Source organism: Homo sapiens, chromosome 17 (assembly GCF_000001405.40).
Source record: "Homo sapiens chromosome 17, GRCh38.p14 Primary Assembly".
NCBI lineage: Eukaryota > Metazoa > Chordata > Mammalia > Primates > Hominidae > Homo > Homo sapiens.
In genome coordinates, this window is record NC_000017.11 from 60,610,287 (window position 1) to 60,625,032 (window position 14,746).

General features: G+C 41.9%; 1 protein-coding gene across 3 annotated transcripts in view, besides 1 other annotated feature; it reads left to right on the forward strand.

Annotated features, from left to right (window-relative positions):
• PPM1D (protein phosphatase, Mg2+/Mn2+ dependent 1D) overlaps positions 1-14,746 on the forward strand; it is a 66,088-nt gene that overhangs the window by 10,094 nt on the left and 41,248 nt on the right. For all 3 annotated transcript variants that reach the window (XR_934577.3, XR_007065507.1, NM_003620.4), the window contains exon 2: positions 13,235-13,463. Coding sequence is in view for 1 of the 3 variants with exons in the window: in NM_003620.4 (NP_003611.1) it covers positions 13,235-13,463 (229 nt within the window). In the remaining 2 variants the exon portion in view is untranslated. The remainder of the gene's footprint in view (positions 1-13,234; positions 13,464-14,746) is intronic.
• Positions 13,269-13,469: a silencer, noted in NCBI's record as "peak2930 fragment used in MPRA reporter construct". NCBI's record gives its function as "represses an SCP1 promoter by STARR-seq MPRAs in K562 erythroleukemia cells {active_cell/tissue: K562}" and the evidence as "EXISTENCE:reporter gene assay evidence [ECO:0000049][PMID:32103011]".

Here is a 14,746-nt window from a genome sequence, read left to right on the forward strand (position 1 = left end):
GCCCCTGCGATAAGGGGGTACTACTCTATTCTTCTGGGTCTTACTTTTTTGGTTCAGTATTGTATGATTTCTTCATGTTGACACACGTAGCTCTAGTTCGTTCATTTTCACTTATGGATAGTATAAATATACCAATATTGTGCTCATCCATTGTATCCTTGAAGGATATTTAGTTTTACAACTATTTATAATTAAAAACAATGATGTTTGGAATATTTCCGTACATGTCTTTGGTTGTTCTTCAAATATCTGAGGGGTTCTCTGAGAGCCCAGGTTTGGCAAAGTAAAGCCTACAGGCCGCATTGGGCTACCACCAATTTTTGTAGATAAAATTTTTTTTATTGGAGCACTGCCAAGATCATTTGTTTATACAATGTCTGTAACTGCTTTCACACTTCAACAGCAGAGTTGAATAGTTGTGACAGATACCATATGTTTTGCAAAGCCAAAAGTATTTTCTGGTCTTTCATAGAAAAGGTTTGCTGACCCTGCTCTAGTGTACTAGGGGAACAATTGCTGGGTCATGAGGTATGATATCTTGGACCTCACTAGATATTGCCAAATTGCTTTCCAAGGTGTTTATACCTGTTTATTCCCCTGAAGAAGTGTAGGAGAGTATCATTCTTTCACCTTCTTGCCAATACTTGAAGTGGTCTGCATTTTATGGTGGTGAAATTATATCTTATTGTGGTTTTAATTCTCATTTCCCTGATTCCTCATAAGATTGAGTACATTATTATTTTTGAGACGGAGTCTCGCTCTGTTGCCCTGTTGCCCAGGCTGGAGTGCAGTGCCTCGATCTCAGCTCATTGCAACCTCTGCCTCCCAGGTTCATGCGATCCTCCTGCCTCAGCCTCCCAAAGTAGCTGGGATTACAAGCATGCACCACCACCCCAGCTAATTTTTCTATTTTTAGTAGAGTTAGGGTTTCACCATGTTGGCTAGGCTAGTCTTGAACTCCTGACCTCAAGTGATCTGCACGCCTTGGCCTCCTAAAGTGCTGACATTATAGGTGTAAGCCACCATGCCTGGCCATGTTTTCTTTTTATGAAATACCTTTTAATTTTTTTGCCCATGTTAACACTGAATTGTTTTCTTGCTGATTTGTAGAAATTCTTTATGTATTTTGTGGGGTTTTTTTGTTTTGTTGGGTTTTTTTTTGAGACAGGGTCTTGCTCTGTCACCCAGGCTGGAGTGCAGCGGCACGATCTTGGCTCTGCCTCCTAGTTTCAAGCAATCCTCCTGCCTCAGCCACTTGAGTAGCTGGGATTACAGGCATGTGCTACAATGCCTGACTAATTTTTGTGTTTTTTGTAGAAATGGGGTTTCACCATGTTTGCCAAGCTGGTCTCAAACTCCTGGCCTCAAGTGATCCACCTGCCTCGGCCTCCCAAAGCGCTGGGATTGTAGGTGTGAGCTGCCACGCCTGGCCCAAAATTCTTTATGTATTTTGGATACTAATTCTTTGTTACAGAGTTAGCAGGTATCTTCCAGTTTTTAGTTTGTCTCTTCACTTCGTGATGTTTATTAATGAACAGAAGATGTTAAACTTATGTAATTTTATTAATCATTTTCTTGATATCTCATGTTTTTAAAGATGCTATTGTGTTCTCTTCTAAGAGGTATACAGCTCTGCTTTCACAATTAAGTCCTCCTATCATTTTTGTTTTTGTCCTTTACCTATGTGCTGTCCAATTGACTGGAGTACACATGTAGCCACTGACTACATGTAGTCAGTGGCTACATGTGGGTATTTAAAAAAAGAAAACAGATTTATAGAGGTATAATTGACATACAATAAATGGTACACATTTAAAGTATACTCTGATAATTTTTGACATATGCGCATGTCAAGCCATCATCACATTCAAAGCAATAAACATCTATCACGCCCAAAAGTTTCCTTGTGACCATTTGCAATTATCCCACATTCTCCAATCTCCATTTCTAGGTAACCACTGAGCCGCTTTCTGTCTTGTAGATTATTTTTTCTATAATTTTATATACAGTCATATGTTGCTTAACAACAGGGATATGTTCTGAGAAATGTGTCTTAGGTGATTTTGTGTTGGTGTGCGAATATCAGAGTGTACTGACACAAACCTAGATGGTATAGCCTACTGCACACCTAGATTGTATATAGCGTGTTGCTCCTAGGCTACAAACCTGTATGCAGGTGGTATGGTATCATTGTTAACTTCCTGATTTTGATGGGATCGTAGTTATGTAGGAGACTGTCCTTGTGTGTAGGAATTAAATACTATAAATATTTAAAATTGATGGGATTTGGTGGTTTACACACTATTGCTTCAAGAAAAAGAAAATAGAATTATTCTTGCAAAAAAGGAAAGGTAAAGCTGAAGATATAAAAAGATCAGAAACCCGGATACTTTTAGGAATCTAGGTAGCAGTTTCATCAGGGTCTTGCTGCTGGATGTGTACCAGATAACAGTCTGTTTTTTTTTTCAATGACGAGAATAAATAAGAAACAGCAGCATTTGGAGTCACCATTTGGTTATGATAATTCACTGTCATTTTCCAAGAGCTATCAGACTTTTGCAGTGGTCAAACTATGTAATAGGAATAGATGGGATTTACCACCCCTTCTTCTTTCATGTTTTAGTGGTGGCAGGAATCTTTGTTATTCTTTGAAGGATGCGACAGTGCTTTTAAATTATTAGTTTGGAGTAGAGTCTCATTGTTGAGGTGCTCCAAAGTCTTGCACTTGGCCTTTTCTACCATAATAGGCTTCCTAACCTATCAGTTAAGAGCTTTCAGGAGAAGCTATTAGTTTTTGTCCAGCTAGTTGATATTCCATTCAGTCTGTGGAATTGGGGAATTGTGTACTATGTAATACTAAATAGTATTACTGCTTAAATAAACCCTTTAAATAAGGGCTAAAGTGAAAGCAGTGTAGCCTTTTTTTTTTCATTTGGACTATTTCTTCAGAAAAAAAATTCTCAAAACTGAATTATTTGCTTAAACAATGTATACCTTTTGATGGTTGCCAATAAGTATTTTCAAATTGCTTCCCTGAAGGCTTTACATCTCCATACTACTTTGGAATTGGAATTCTGTAAGAACTCTTAAGTGATTGAGAGTATGTGCCCTAGAGTTGTACTGCCTAGGTTCGAATTCCAGCTTCTCCACTTACTGAGAGTTGACAGCGTGCTGGCAGCCCTCGCTGGCTCTCAGCGCCTCCTCAGCCTTGGCGCCTACTCTGGCTGCGCTTGAGGAGCCCTTCAGCCCGCCACTGCACTGTGGGAGCCCCTCCCTGGGCTGGCCGAGGCCGGAGCCGGCTCCCTCAGCTTGTGGGGAGGTGTGGAGGGAGAGGCGCGGGTGGGAACTGGGGCTGCGTGCTGCACTTGTGGGCCAGCGCGAGTTCCAGGTGGGCATGGGCTCCGCAGGCCCTGCACTCGGAGCGGCCAGCTGGCGCTGCTGGCCGCAGGCAGTGAGGGGCTTAGCACCCGGGCCACTAGCTGCAGAGGGTGCGCCGGGTCCCCCAGCAGTGCTGGCCCACCGGCGCTGCGCTGGATTTCTCGCCGGGCCTTAGCTGACTCCCCATGAGGCAGGGCTTGGGACCTGCAGCCTGCCATACCTGAGGCCCCCCCCCCGCCACCCCCCCGCCTCACACAGCCCAAGCCTCCCCGATGAGCACCACCCCCTGCTCCACGGTGCCCGGTCCCGTCGACTGCCCAAGGGCTGAGGAGTGCGGGCCCAAGGGCTGAGGAGTGTGGGCGCAAGGCCCGGGACTGGCAGGCAGCTCCACCTGCGGCCCCGGTGCGGGATCCACTGCAAAGCCAGCTGGGCTCCTGAGTCTAGTGGGGACTTGGAGAACCTTTATGTCTAGCTAAGGGATTGTAAATACACCAATCAGCACTCCGTATCTAGCTCGAGGTTTGTAAACACGCCAGTCAGCACCCTGTGTCTAGCTCAGGGTTTGTGGATGCAACAATCAGCACTCTGTATCTAGCTAATCTGGTGGGGACTTGGAGAATCTTTATGTCTAGCCAAGGTATTGTAAATATACCAGTCAGCACTCTGTGTCTAGCTCAAGGTTTGTAAATGCACCAATCAGTGCTCTGTGTCTGGCTAATCTAGTGGGGACTTGGAGAACTTTTGTGTCTATCTCAGGGATTGTAAATGCACCAATCAGCACCCTGTCAAAACGGACCAATCAGTTCTCTGTAAAACAGACTAATCAGCTCTCTGTAAAATGGACCAATCAGCAGGATGTGGGTGGTGCCAGATAAGGGAATAAAAGCAGGCTCAGCCAACATTGGCAACACGGTGGGGTGGCTTCCACACCGTGGAAGCTTAGTTCTTTTGCCCTTTGCAATAAATCTTGCTGCTGCTCACTGGGTCCACACTGTCTTTATGAGCTGTAACACTCACTGCGAAGGTCTGCAGCTTCACTCCTGAAGCCAGGGAGACCACCAACCCACCAGAAGGAACGAACAACTCCAGACGCGCAGCATTAAAAGCTGTAACACTCACCGGGAAAGTCTGCAGCTTCATTCCTGAAGCCAGCGAGACCACGAACCCACCAGAAGGAAGAAACTCCGAACACATCCGAACATCAGAAGGAACAAATTCTGGACACACTGCCTTTAAGAACTGTAACACTCGTGGCAAGGGTCTGCGGTTTCATTCTTGAAGTCAGTGAGACCAAGAACCCACCAATTCTGGACACATTACTACCTTTGTAACCTTCAGTAAAACTATTTGCACCAGGGTATCCTTACCTATAAAATAGAGATGTTATAACAATTTATTGGTTTTTGCCTTTATGACATGCATATTTTCTTGCTTAAGAAAATTTTCCTTAGGCTGGGTGTGGTGGCTCACACCTCTAATCCCAACACTTTGGGAGGCTGAGGTGGGCAGATTGCTCGAGCCCAGGAATTCAAGACCAGCCTGGGCAACATAGTGGAACCCCCTCTGTACAAAAAATACAAAAATTAGCTGGGCGTGGTGGCGTGCACCTGTAGCCAGCCCAGGCAAACCCAGCTGCTTGGGAGGCCCAGGTGGGAGGATCGCTTGAGCCGAGGAGGCAGAGGTTGTGGTGAGCCAAGATCATGCCACTGCATTGCAGCCCGGGTGACAGAGTGAGACTCTGTCTGAGGAAAAAATGAAAAGAATACTTAAGTGAGAGTTAGTATACTAGATGGTGCTGTCTTTTAATGCACTTCTCGTTTTATGTCATTAAAAAAATTAAAATATAAAGTAGGAAATAAATACTATAGTTAAGGAAGACAACATAAAAATACCAGTTGCTTAATATATAAATTTAGTGCAGTTTCAATCAGAATCTCAAGAAGGTTTTTTAATTTTGCAAGTTGCTACTAAAGTTCCTTTGGAAAAGTATGTGGGAGAATTTTCTTTTTACTTTTTTTTTTTTTTTTTTGGGTAGAGATAGGGTCTTACTATGTTGCACAGACTGGTCTTGAACTCCTGGGCTGAAGCTATCCCCTCCTGCCTTGGCCTGCCAAAGTGCTGGGATTACAGATGTAAGCCACCGCGCCTGCACCTCCCTCCCCCTTTTTTAAGCGACAGGATCTCTGTGTTGTCCAGGCTGGAGTATAGTAGCTATTCACGGGTTCAATCACAGTGCACTATAGCTTCTAACTCCTGGGCTCAAGCATCCTCCTGCCTCAGCCTCACAAGTAGCTGGGACTGCAGGCATGAGTGACTGCACCCAGCTATGTAAGATTAATTTTTTTGTTTTTGTTTTTTTTGGAGGCAGAGTCTTGCTGTCACCCAGGCTGAAGTGCAATGGCATGATCTCGGCTCACTGCAGCTTCTGCCTCCCAAGCTCAAGTGATTCTTGAGCCTCAGCCTCCTGTAACTGGGGTTATGGGTGTGGTGGCACACAACTGTAATCCCAGCTACTCTGGAAGCTGAGGCACAAGAATTGCTTTAACCTGGGTGGCGGAGGTTGCAGTGAGCTGAGATTGAGCCACTGTACTGTAGCCTGGGCGACAGAGCAAGGCTCTGTCTCAAAAAAAAAAAAAAAGGAAAACTAAAAAGAAAAGAAAAAGGCCAGGTTCAGTGGCTCATGCCTGTAATCCCAGCACTTTGGGAGGCCGAGGCGGCAGATTACTGAAGGTCAAGAGTTCGAGACCAGCCTGGCGAACATGGTGAAATCCCGTCTCTACTAAAAATACAAAAATATTAGCCTGGTGTGGTGGCACATACCTATAATCCCAGCTACTCGGGAGGCTGAGACAGGAGAATCTCTTGAACCCAGGAGGCAGAGGTTGCAGTGAGCCAAGATCACGCCTCTGCACTCCGGCCTGGGTGACAGAGTGAGACTGTCTCAAAAAAAGAAAAAGAATTGAGGGATACTTAAACTACCAATTATTAAAAAGTACTATAAATAGATTAGTAGGATGAGTTTAGAAATAGATCTAAGGCAAAATGTAGCATATAATAAAGGTGACATTTCAGATGAATAGGGAAAGTATGAATTAGTCATTTTTAGGTCATTGCAAAATATCTCTTTGTTCATGTTAGGCTTTTGACCAAAAGTGTGATTTAAATAATATTGCATCTAAGGATATTTATTTTTAGCTCGTTTTTTCACTTGCCATTTTGTTTTAGGTGATTTTTGTGAATGGCTGAATTATTTGTATACTGTAGGTAAATTTTGTTTTGTTTTCTTTCTTTTACTCTTTAGGAGACTGAGTCTTGCTCTGTCGCCCAGGCTGGAGTGCAGTGGCACGATTATAGCTCACTGCAGCCTTGAACTCCTGAGCTCAAGTGATCCTCCTGCCTCCTCCTCTGAAGAAGTTAGAACTAACAGATGCATGCCACTAAACCTGGTTAATTAAAAAAAAAAATTTTTTTTTTTTTTTTGTAGAGACAGAATGTGGCTGTGTTCCCCAAGCTGGTCTCCTGGCCTCAAGTGGTCCTCCTGCCTTGGCCTCCCAAAGCACTGTGAATGTAGGCATGAGCCACTGTACCCTGCCAAATTTTGTGTTTTGAATGTGCTGTAGAACTTCTGAGAGTTCGCCTCATTTATTCATTCACATTTATTGTAGTAGAAGTTTTTTTTTTGTTTGTTTGTTTTTTAATTTACTTCAGTTTGTTTAAAAAGAAAGAGGATAGCCAGGCACAGTAGCACATGCTTATAGTCCCAGCTGCTTGGGAGGCTGAGGCAGGAGGATTGCCTGAGCCCAGGAGGTCAAGGTTGTAGTATGTGATGATCACACCTGTGAATTAGCCTGCACTCCAGCCTGGGCAACATATTGAGACCCTGTTGTTAAAAAAAAAAAAAAATAGAAGAAAGGGTTTTATCAAAAGCTAGTAAACACCCCAAATAATTGAAAGGGCTGAAGAAACATACAGTATACTCTAGGCTGAGCTTCCATGAAATAACTTCTGCAACCAGATTGCAAACTGGATGGGCTATGAAGCTGTCCTTGCTGTGATTTCTGCCGGCAAAATTGATACCTTTTCTCTGCTTTTTTTTTATTTTAAATATTGCAAAATAAGCATATGTATAGAAAAGGTCATAAAACATAAATGTACACTTCAATGAATAATTATAAACTGAACACCATCCAGTTAGGAAAGAACATTGTCTGCACTGCAGATATCTGTATGTCCTTTCTGATTTCATATTTCTATCTCCCCCTAAAAAACTACCTTCCTGACTTTCATCATGAGAGTTCTGTAATGGTTTACTTGTTTTTCTTAATAGTTTCACCACTTTTCTCTAAACATGATGGTTGTTTTTGAAGAAAGTCATGCTCTATGTGTTCTTTTATCATGTGCTGCTTGTGAGATTCTTGTGTGCTTTATGTAGTATTGTCCATTTTCATGTTGAACAACTTGGGCTGTTGCCCATTTGTAGCCCTTATTATTGTTTTAGAGACAGGGTCTTGCTGTATTTCCCAGGCTGTAAACTCCTGGGCTCAAGCGATCCCCCTGCCTCACAGCCTCCTGAGCAGCTGGTACTACAGGCACATACTACCATGGTTGACTCATGTATTTGTTGTGTATGTATGTTAATTTGTGGTATATACCTAGGAGGTAGTCAAAGAGTATACATATCTTTACCTTTAATAAGTAATGCCTAAATGTTACCTGCAATGTACCAGTTTACACTTTCACAGTAGTTGATGATAGTACATGTTGCTCCATTTTCTTGACCACAGTTCGGTTGCTATTGTCGAACTTTAATTTGTGCGGTCTTGTAGTTATGCAGCACTATCTCATTGTGGTTTTAAATTAGTATTTCTCTGATAATTAAAGAAGCTGAATACCTTTGCATATTTTGTGGCTGTTTGGATTTCCTATTTTGTAAAAGGCTTGTTTAAGCTTTTTGTCCATTCTCCCATTTGGGTAGTCTGTCTCATTGATTTGATTTGTAGGAAAATTTTATATATTCTGGATGCTTTTCCTTTGGCGCGTAGGTGTGTGTATTCTGTTCTCTGTGTTGTTTTTATTCTAATAATGGTATCTTCTGAAGAATAGATTTTTTTAGTTGCTTTTAAAAAAGATGTGCAATGTGATAGATGATTTTATGTATGTATACATTGTGAAATGATTACCACAGTCAAGTTAATTAACACATCCATCACCTCACATAGTTACCTTTTTTTGGTGGTGAGAACACTCAAGATTTATTTTCAGCAAATTTCAAGTATACAAAACAGTATTATTAACTATACTCTCTGTGTTGTACATTAGATACTAAGAACTTACTCATAATGGGAAGTTTGTGCTGTTTGACCAACATCTCCCCACTTCTCCTAACCCCTAATCCCTGGCAACCGTCCTTCTACTCTTTCCTTCTGTGACTTTTTCTTTAGATTCCACGTATAAGTAAGATCACACAGTATTTGTTTTTTCTGTGTTTGGCATATTTCACTTAGCATAATGTCCTACAGGTTCATCCTTGTGTTGCACATGGCAGGATTTCCTTTTTTTTTTTTTATGGCTGAACGATATTCCATTGTGTATACATACATTTTCTTTATTTATTTATCTCTTGCTGGATACTTAGATTGTTTTCATATCTTGGATGTTTTGAATAATTCTGCAGGGAGTGTTGAGGTACATGTATCTCTCTGAGAGACTGATTTCATTTTCTTTGGATATACATTCAGAGGTGCAATTCCTGAGTCATATGGTACTTCTATTTTTAGATATATTTTTAATTCTATAATATTTTCCATAATAGCTATGCCAATTTACATTTCTATCAGCAGTGTACAAATGTTCTCCCTTCTTCACATCCTGGCCAGCACTTGTTTACTGTTATCTTTTTGATAATAGCCATCCTAATAGGTGTGAGGTTATCTCTCTCTTTATTTTTTTAATTTTTTTTTAGATGGGTCTTCTCGCTCTGTTGCTCAGGCTGGAGTGCAGTGGTGTGATCACTGTAGCCCCAGACTCCTTGGCTCAATGGAACCTTCTGTCTCAGCCTCCTGAGTAGCTAGGACTACAGATGTGTGCTACCATGCCCGGCTAATTTTTAAATTTTTAGTGGAGATGGGTCTCGTTATGTTGTCTATGCTGGTGATAAATTCCTGGCCTCAAGCGATCTTCCTGTCTCATTTTGTTTTTGATTTGAATTTCCGTCATGATGCTTGATGTTGAGCTTCTGTTCATATACTTGTTGCCCATTTGTATGACTTCTTTGACAAATGTCTATTCAGGTCATTTGCCCAGTTTTTTTTTGTTTTTGTTTGTTTTGTTTTGTTTTGTTTTGTTTTGTTTTGAGACAGAGTCTCGCCCTGTCGCCCAGGCTGGAGTGCAGTGGCATGATCTCGGCCCACTGTAAACTCCACCCCCTGGGTTCAAACTATTCTCCTGTCTCAGCCTCCCCAGTGGCTAGGATTACAGGCGCCTGCCACCATGCCTGGCTAATTTCTGTATTTTTCGTAGAGACGGGGTTTCACCGTGTTAGCCAGGCTGGTATTGAACTCCTGACCTCCTGATCCACCCACTTCGGCCTCCCAGAGTGCTGGGAATACAGGCATGAGCCACCGCGCCCGGCCTGCCCAGTTTTTAACTGTGTTTTTGTTTGTTTGTTTGTTTTGCTATTGAGTTGTATGATTTCCTTATATATTTTGGATATTAATATCTTACCACATAGTGTAAAGTTTGTAAATATTTTCTCCTGAAAGTTGCCTTTTCATTTTGTTGATGGTTTCCTTTCCCGTGCAGAAGCCTTTTAGTTTGATGTAGCCCAACTGTTTTTTTCTGCTTTTGTTGCTGTTTTTTTTGTTTGTTTGTTTGTTTTTTTGAGACAGAGTCTCGCTGTACTACACAGGCTGGAGTGCAGTGGCGTGATCTCAGCTCGCTGCAATCTCTGCCTCCTGAGGTTAGGATCCCTCCTGAGCTGGGATTACAGGTGTGCGCTACCATGCCTGGCTAATTTTTGTATTTTTAGTAGAGACAGGCTTTCACCATGTTGGTCAGGCTGGTCTAGAACTCCTGACCTCATGGTCCACCCACTTTGGCTTTCCAAAGTGCTGGGATTACAGGCATGAGCCACTGCACCCAGCCTGTTGCCATTTCTTTTGGTGGTCATATTAAAAAAGTAATTGCCAAGACCAACGTCGAGATTTTTCCTTATGTTTTTTTTCTAGGAGTTTTGTGCTTTTTGTTTTTCTTTTCTTTTCTTTCTTTCTTTTTTTTTGAGGCAGATTCTCGCTCTGTTGCCCAGGCTGGAGTGCAGCGGCACGATCTTGGCTCACTGCAACCTCCACCTCCAAGGTTCAAGCGATTTGCCTGCCTCAGCTGCCTGAGTAGCTGGGATTACAGGCGCACACCACCACATCTGGCTAATTTTTATATTTTCAGTAGAGATGGGGTTTCATCATGTTGGCCAGGTTGGTCTCGAACTCCTGACCTCAGGTAATCCACCCACCTTGGCCTCCCAAAGTGCTGGGATTACATGTGTGAGCCACCGCATCCGGCCTGAGTTATGCTTTCAATGTATTTCTTACATTTCAGTTTTTAATCACTTTCCAGTTAATTTTTGTGTATGGTATAAGACAAGGGTACAATTTCATTCTTTTGCATGTGGATATCCAGGTTTTCCAGTGCCATTTATTGAAGACTATCCCTACCTCAGAGTTTTGTTTGTTTGTTTGTTTGTTTGTTGTTTTGAGACAGGATCTCACTCTGTTGGCCAGGCTGGAGTGCAGTGGCACCATCTCCACTCACTGCAGCCTCCACCTCCTGGGTTCAAGTGATTCTCCCACCTCAGCCTCCTGAGTAGCTGGGACTACAGGCACACATGCCTGGCTATTTTTTGTATTTTTTTTTTTTTTTTTTTTTGAGACGGAGTCTCGCTCTGTCGCCCAGGCCAGACTGCGGACTGCAGTGGCGCAATCTCGGCTCACTGCAAGCTCCGCCTCCCGGGTTCACGCCATTCTCTTGCCTCAGCCTCCAGAGTAGCTGGGACTACGGGCACCTGCCACCACGCCCAGCTAATTTTTTGTATTTTTAGTAGAAACGGGGTTTCACCATAGTCAGGATGGTCTCGATCTCCTGACCTCGTGATCCGCCCACTTTGGCCTCCTAAAGTGCTGAGATTATAGGCGTGAGCCACCACTCCCAGCGTGTTAAGAGTTATCTCAAAAAAAAAAAAAAATTATCGGCCAGGCGTGGTGGCTCACGCCTGTAATCCCAACACTTTGGGAGGCCAAGGCGGGCAGATCACGAGGTCAGGAGATCGAGACCATCCTGGCTAACACAGTGAAACCCCGTCTCTACTAAAAAAATACAAAAAAATTAGTTGGGTGTGGTGGCAGGCGCCTGTAGTCCCAGCTATTTGGGAGGCTGAGGCAGAAGAATGGCGTGAACCTGGGAGGCGGAGCTTGCAGTGAGCCGAGATCATGCCACTGCTCTCCAGCCTGGACGACAGAGCGAGACTCTGTCTCAAAAAAAAAAAAAAGGAACACTCATTTACTGTCTTTATTACTGATTTTTCTTTTTGCTTATGTTGGATTACAAGTCTGCATTTTTATTTTTTTTCTTAACATAATTCTATTCCTTTAAACTTCCAGGAATTCTTCATCTTTGCCTATGACCTTTCTGTGTGTGTCTATATGTTGTGGATTTATTTCTAACATTTACATTCTGTCCTTTCAGTGGGATTTTGGTGGGGAGAATATGTCATTGTTTGGACTCATTTTGCCATCATGAACTATAAGTTGCAGTTTGTTTAGTGTTACATAATACTTCAGAATTGTTGAATGACAGTGAATTTAATTAAACAGTATAGGGTTTGTAATTTAATATACAGGGATTCTGCCCCTAAATATTTGAGTTATCTGAAGCAGGTTTCTTAATTATTCAAAGTATTGATATCCTTATCTGCAAAATGAGGAATAAGTAAATAAATAAAGGGAATAATCATATCTGTCTCATAAGTTCGTCACAAGCATTATTTGAGATAATACATGTAAAGCTCTTAGTATAGAACTTGGTATACAGTGAATATACTCAGTAAATGTAATTTGTTAAGTAGTGACTATTCAAAATAGTTATTTCAAAAACAAATCAAGCCGAGTGCGGTGGCTCATGCCCATGATCCCAGCACTTTGGGAGGCCGAAGCGGGTGGATCACCCAAGGTCAGGAGTTTGAGACCAGCCTGACCAACATGGCGAAACCCCATCTCTACTAAAAATACAAAAATTAGCTGGGGATGGTGGCAGGCGCCTGTAATACCAGCTACTCGAGAGGCTGAGTCAGGAGAATCACTTGAACCCAGGAGGCAGAGGTTGCACTCCAGCCTGGGTGACAGAGTAAGACTCAATCTAAAAAACAACAAAACAGAAAAACAAGTAGCTTTTTCAGAAAGCCTTTTAGAAGAGATATGAGTAAACAGATGCTAAGTGGCTGGCTAAATGATACCACAACTCTTGAATCAAAACTGATTCAGATTAAAAAAACCTCTTAACACATTCTTTCCTATCAATGTAGTTAGGACTAAGAGTCATGTAGCAGTAGTAAACCTGTCCTGTAATATATTTCTCTTAGGATTGGTTTGATAGTTGTATCATAATTGCATTATTTATAACATTAATTTATTAATGTATTCATTAATTAACCTAAGTCCTTTAGTAGTTTTCAGAATATTTTTCTTAAATTGTTTCCTGTGCTAATTCGAATGTTAACATGCTAATTCAGAGTTTGTTGCCATTTGTATCCTGACAGTGTATTAATGTTTATACTTGCAAGAGTGAAATATTTTATTTCTTATTACAGCGGAATGGCCAAAGACTATGACGGGTCTTCCTAGCACATCAGGGACAACTGCCAGTGTGGTCATCATTCGGGGCATGAAGATGTATGTAGCTCACGTAGGTGACTCAGGGGTGGTTCTTGGAATTCAGGATGACCCGAAGGATGACTTTGTCAGAGCTGTGGAGGTGACACAGGACCATAAGCCAGAACTTCCCAAGGAAAGAGAACGAATCGAAGGACTTGGTGGGAGGTAACATTCTGTCGTTTTCTCTTTCCTCTTTTGGTTCTATTTAGTCCTTTTATGCTTTACTAATGAAATTGACCTACTACTGTCCCTTTTACTGAAGTTACTTTCTTAGTATTACAGGTTTTTTAGTTTGTCTGATGTAATACTCATGTATGTATGTTCATATTTTTCTCATTACTATGAATTGACTTTTATTTCTGATAATGACTCTAATAGGAAATAATATTTCAGTGAGCCCCAAGGAAACAATTCAAGGTTTTACTGAAAACCTTTCAGATGACTTTCAGAATCTAGACGGAGCAGCTCTTGGAGTTCCAGAGTAGAACACTTTGAATCTGGCTGGGGGAAAAAGATTAAGTTAGAATTAACCTTCAGCTTTTTTCATTGATTTCAGATTTACTGCAAACCTTTCCAGTTATTGTTTTCTTTGTTTGAACTTAGCGTTTCAATGTGTAAGTAATTTGTAAACTAGGAACTGAAATTGATTTCAATTTTATATTTTTATGATTCAAACTTAAATGAAAGATTATTCTAAAAATCAAGAGAGTGAATAACATGAAAAAATTTAAAAATTATCTCAATACTAATTTTTAAAAATTGAGGATATGAGGCAAGTTGAGTAGAATCCAATGTTTTCTAAATAATCCTTCTAACTAAAGCCTTCCCATGATATCGTTACTTGCCTCTTTTTTGCTTTTATTAAATCAAAATTGGTCTTTTGCAGAGAAACGACAAACTAAGGAAAATAATTAGCATCTGGCTGGGCACTGTGGCTCACACCTGTAATCCCAGCACTTTGGGAGGCTGAGGCGGGCACATCACCTGAGGTCGGGAGTTCGAGACCAGCCTGACCAACATGGAGAAACCCCGTCGCTACTAAAAATACAAAATTAGCTGAGTGTGGTGGCACATGCCTGTAATCCCAGCTACTCCGGAGGCTGAGGCAAGAGAATCACTTGAACCTGGGAGGCAGAGGTTGTGGTGAGCTGAGATTGCACCATTGCACTCCAGCCTGGGCAACAAGAGCAAAACACCATCTCAAAAAAGAAAAAAGAATTAGCATCCTTAAACTATAAGGAGTTCAACAAATTAATAAAGTACTAAAGTGTGAGGCTGGGCGCAGTGGCTCACGTCTGTAATCCTAGCACTTTGGGAGACCGAGGCGGGTGGATTGTCTGAGCTCAGGAGTTCGAGACCAGCTTGGGGAACATGGTGAAACCCCATCTCTGCTAAAATACAAAAGAAATTAGCCGGGCGTGGCAGCGTGCAACTGTAGTCCCAACTAT